The 2,205-nt window shown below is 43.1% G+C and overlaps 1 annotated feature.

Moving 5' to 3' along the window:
* Positions 501-550: a silencer, noted in NCBI's record as "silent region_19485". NCBI's record gives its function as "represses an Ori minimal core promoter by ATAC-STARR-seq in GM12878 lymphoblastoid cells {active_cell/tissue: GM12878}" and the evidence as "EXISTENCE:reporter gene assay evidence [ECO:0000049][PMID:35858748]".

Here is a 2,205-nt window from a genome sequence, read left to right as displayed (position 1 = left end):
AATCATATTAGAACACAGATATTCCTAAAAAGTAATGAACCTATTTATTAGTATATCAAAATAGGTGTGTCTGCACCCCTGCATGCAATAACCACCCTTTCTGTACTCCAGATCCCCACTCCTCTTCTGCCTCATAGTCTGCTGCTCTTTTGCTTACACCGCTGCCCTGCCAGCCTAAATTGGATTAAATGAGAAACTATATATGGCAATCCCTTGCTTATAGCAGGCTGCCAGTAAACACAAGTTCTTTTTGACTTTTCATATTCTTCCCTTAAAAGTTTTGTTTTGCTTAGTCTCAGAAACTCTGCCATTCCTGTTCCTTTATATACAAAGTAAGAAAACAAGGCTTGGATGGACCTAGGTATAGGGCAGTTTTATTGCAAAAAGCAGATGGACACTGGTTCATTCTCCTTCCTGCCCCCATGCACACACCAATTCCCAACAGCGGAGTTTTCAGACCAGCAGAGGGCACCAAAGCACAGGGGACTGGAGTCAAGGGTGTCCAGCACTTAATCTAGCTCTGTCTGTGGGATCCAGGTGGGCCCTGAAGCCAGCTGCCTTGGACACAAGCCTTTGCTAGTTTCCCTTTTGATACATAACCTGATGGGTAAATCATTCTGGGGGAAGAGTGGCAGACAAAGATAGAGAGAGGTGTGAATCCCGATTGTGTTAGTTTCCTGATCTGTAAATAGGAGACAGTAATAACTACCATTTATGGAGTGCTTATTATATGCTGAACACTGTTCTAAGCTCTTTATGTGGATAAATTCATTTAATGGTTGTGGAGATCTACAAAGCAGTCATTGTTATCCCAATTTGATAGATAAAGGAACTGAGACAGACGGATGCCTGACACTGGGATAATAATAGGGTTGTTGTGAGGATTAAAGACAAAGAGTGTAATTATTTGGGGAATTATATATTTGATAAAAAGGAGCTGTTACTTATATATCAATTATAGTTGTTTGAGAAATAGAATCTGTCATTGTAGAACTTGGTTTTAGAGTTCGTTGCTGTTTAATTGGGAACAGCCCACTTCTTGACCCTGACGTGCTCCTCATTAGAGACACAGGACATACTGCTCTGAATGTTTGAAGAGGACCTCACAGACACAGGTATTGTATTAAACAAAGGGTTGAATTTTTTTCCCCTTTTAGTCTCACTTTCTTGCTTTTTCTCTGTTTCTATCTGATATGGTTTGGCTCTGTGTCCCCACCCAATCTCTCCTCTTGAATTGTAACCCCCACGTGTTGAGGGGGGGACCTGGTGGGAGGTGATTGGATCATGGGAGTCTTTTCCCCCATGCTGTTCTCGTGATAGTGAGTGAGTTCTCATGAGATCTGATGGTTTAAACGTGTTTGGCAGCTTCCCCCTCGCTCACTCTCTCCTGACATCTTGTGAAGATGGTGCTTGCTTTTCCTTTGTCTTCTGCCATGATTGTAAGCTTCCTGAGGCCTCCCCAGCCATGTGGAACTGTGAGTCAATTAAACTTCTTTTCTTTATAAATTACCCAGTCTCAGGTAGTTCTTTATAGCAGTGCGATGGACTAATACACTATCCAAAGGCAGATGTGTGGAATCTAATGGAATGAGAGGCCATGCAGGGCTGTTGGGAGAAAGATATCGACACCTCCCCATTCTCCTTCCCTATGTCACTTGTGTTCATGGTACTCACTGAGCTTTGTCCTCAGGCTGGAGTGTGAGGCTCAGCCATGGCCTGGGAGCAGAGCTCAGTGACTGTGCTGTCCAGTGGATTGGGCCTGTCACCCTGGACTCCTCAAAACTGTGCTTGCTTATTCATTTGACAAACATTCATTCAAGCACATTCACTGTTATGCCAGACATGTTGGTAGTTGGAGATTAAATTATTGAAAGAATTTTTTTCTAGCATTAAAGAACTCACAGTTTTGTGGGAGAAAGGCATAGTGAGTAAGAAATAATTAGGGTGCTGGGAGTTGAACAAGGAGAACACATGGACACAGGGAGGGAAACATGACACACTGGGGCCTGTCGGGGGGGCAGGGGGCTAGGGGAGGGATAGCATTAGGAGAAATACCTAATGTAGATGACAGGTTGATGGGTGCAGCAAACCACCATGCCACGTGTATACCTATGTAACAAACCTGCATGTTCTGCACATGTGTCCCAGAACTTAAAGTATAATAGAGAAAAAGAAAAAAAAGAAATTAGGGTGTTAAGGAAATTA

Source organism: Homo sapiens, chromosome 8 (assembly GCF_000001405.40).
Source record: "Homo sapiens chromosome 8, GRCh38.p14 Primary Assembly".
Lineage (NCBI taxonomy): Eukaryota > Metazoa > Chordata > Mammalia > Primates > Hominidae > Homo > Homo sapiens.
This window is presented reverse-complemented; position numbering and strand designations above follow the sequence as displayed.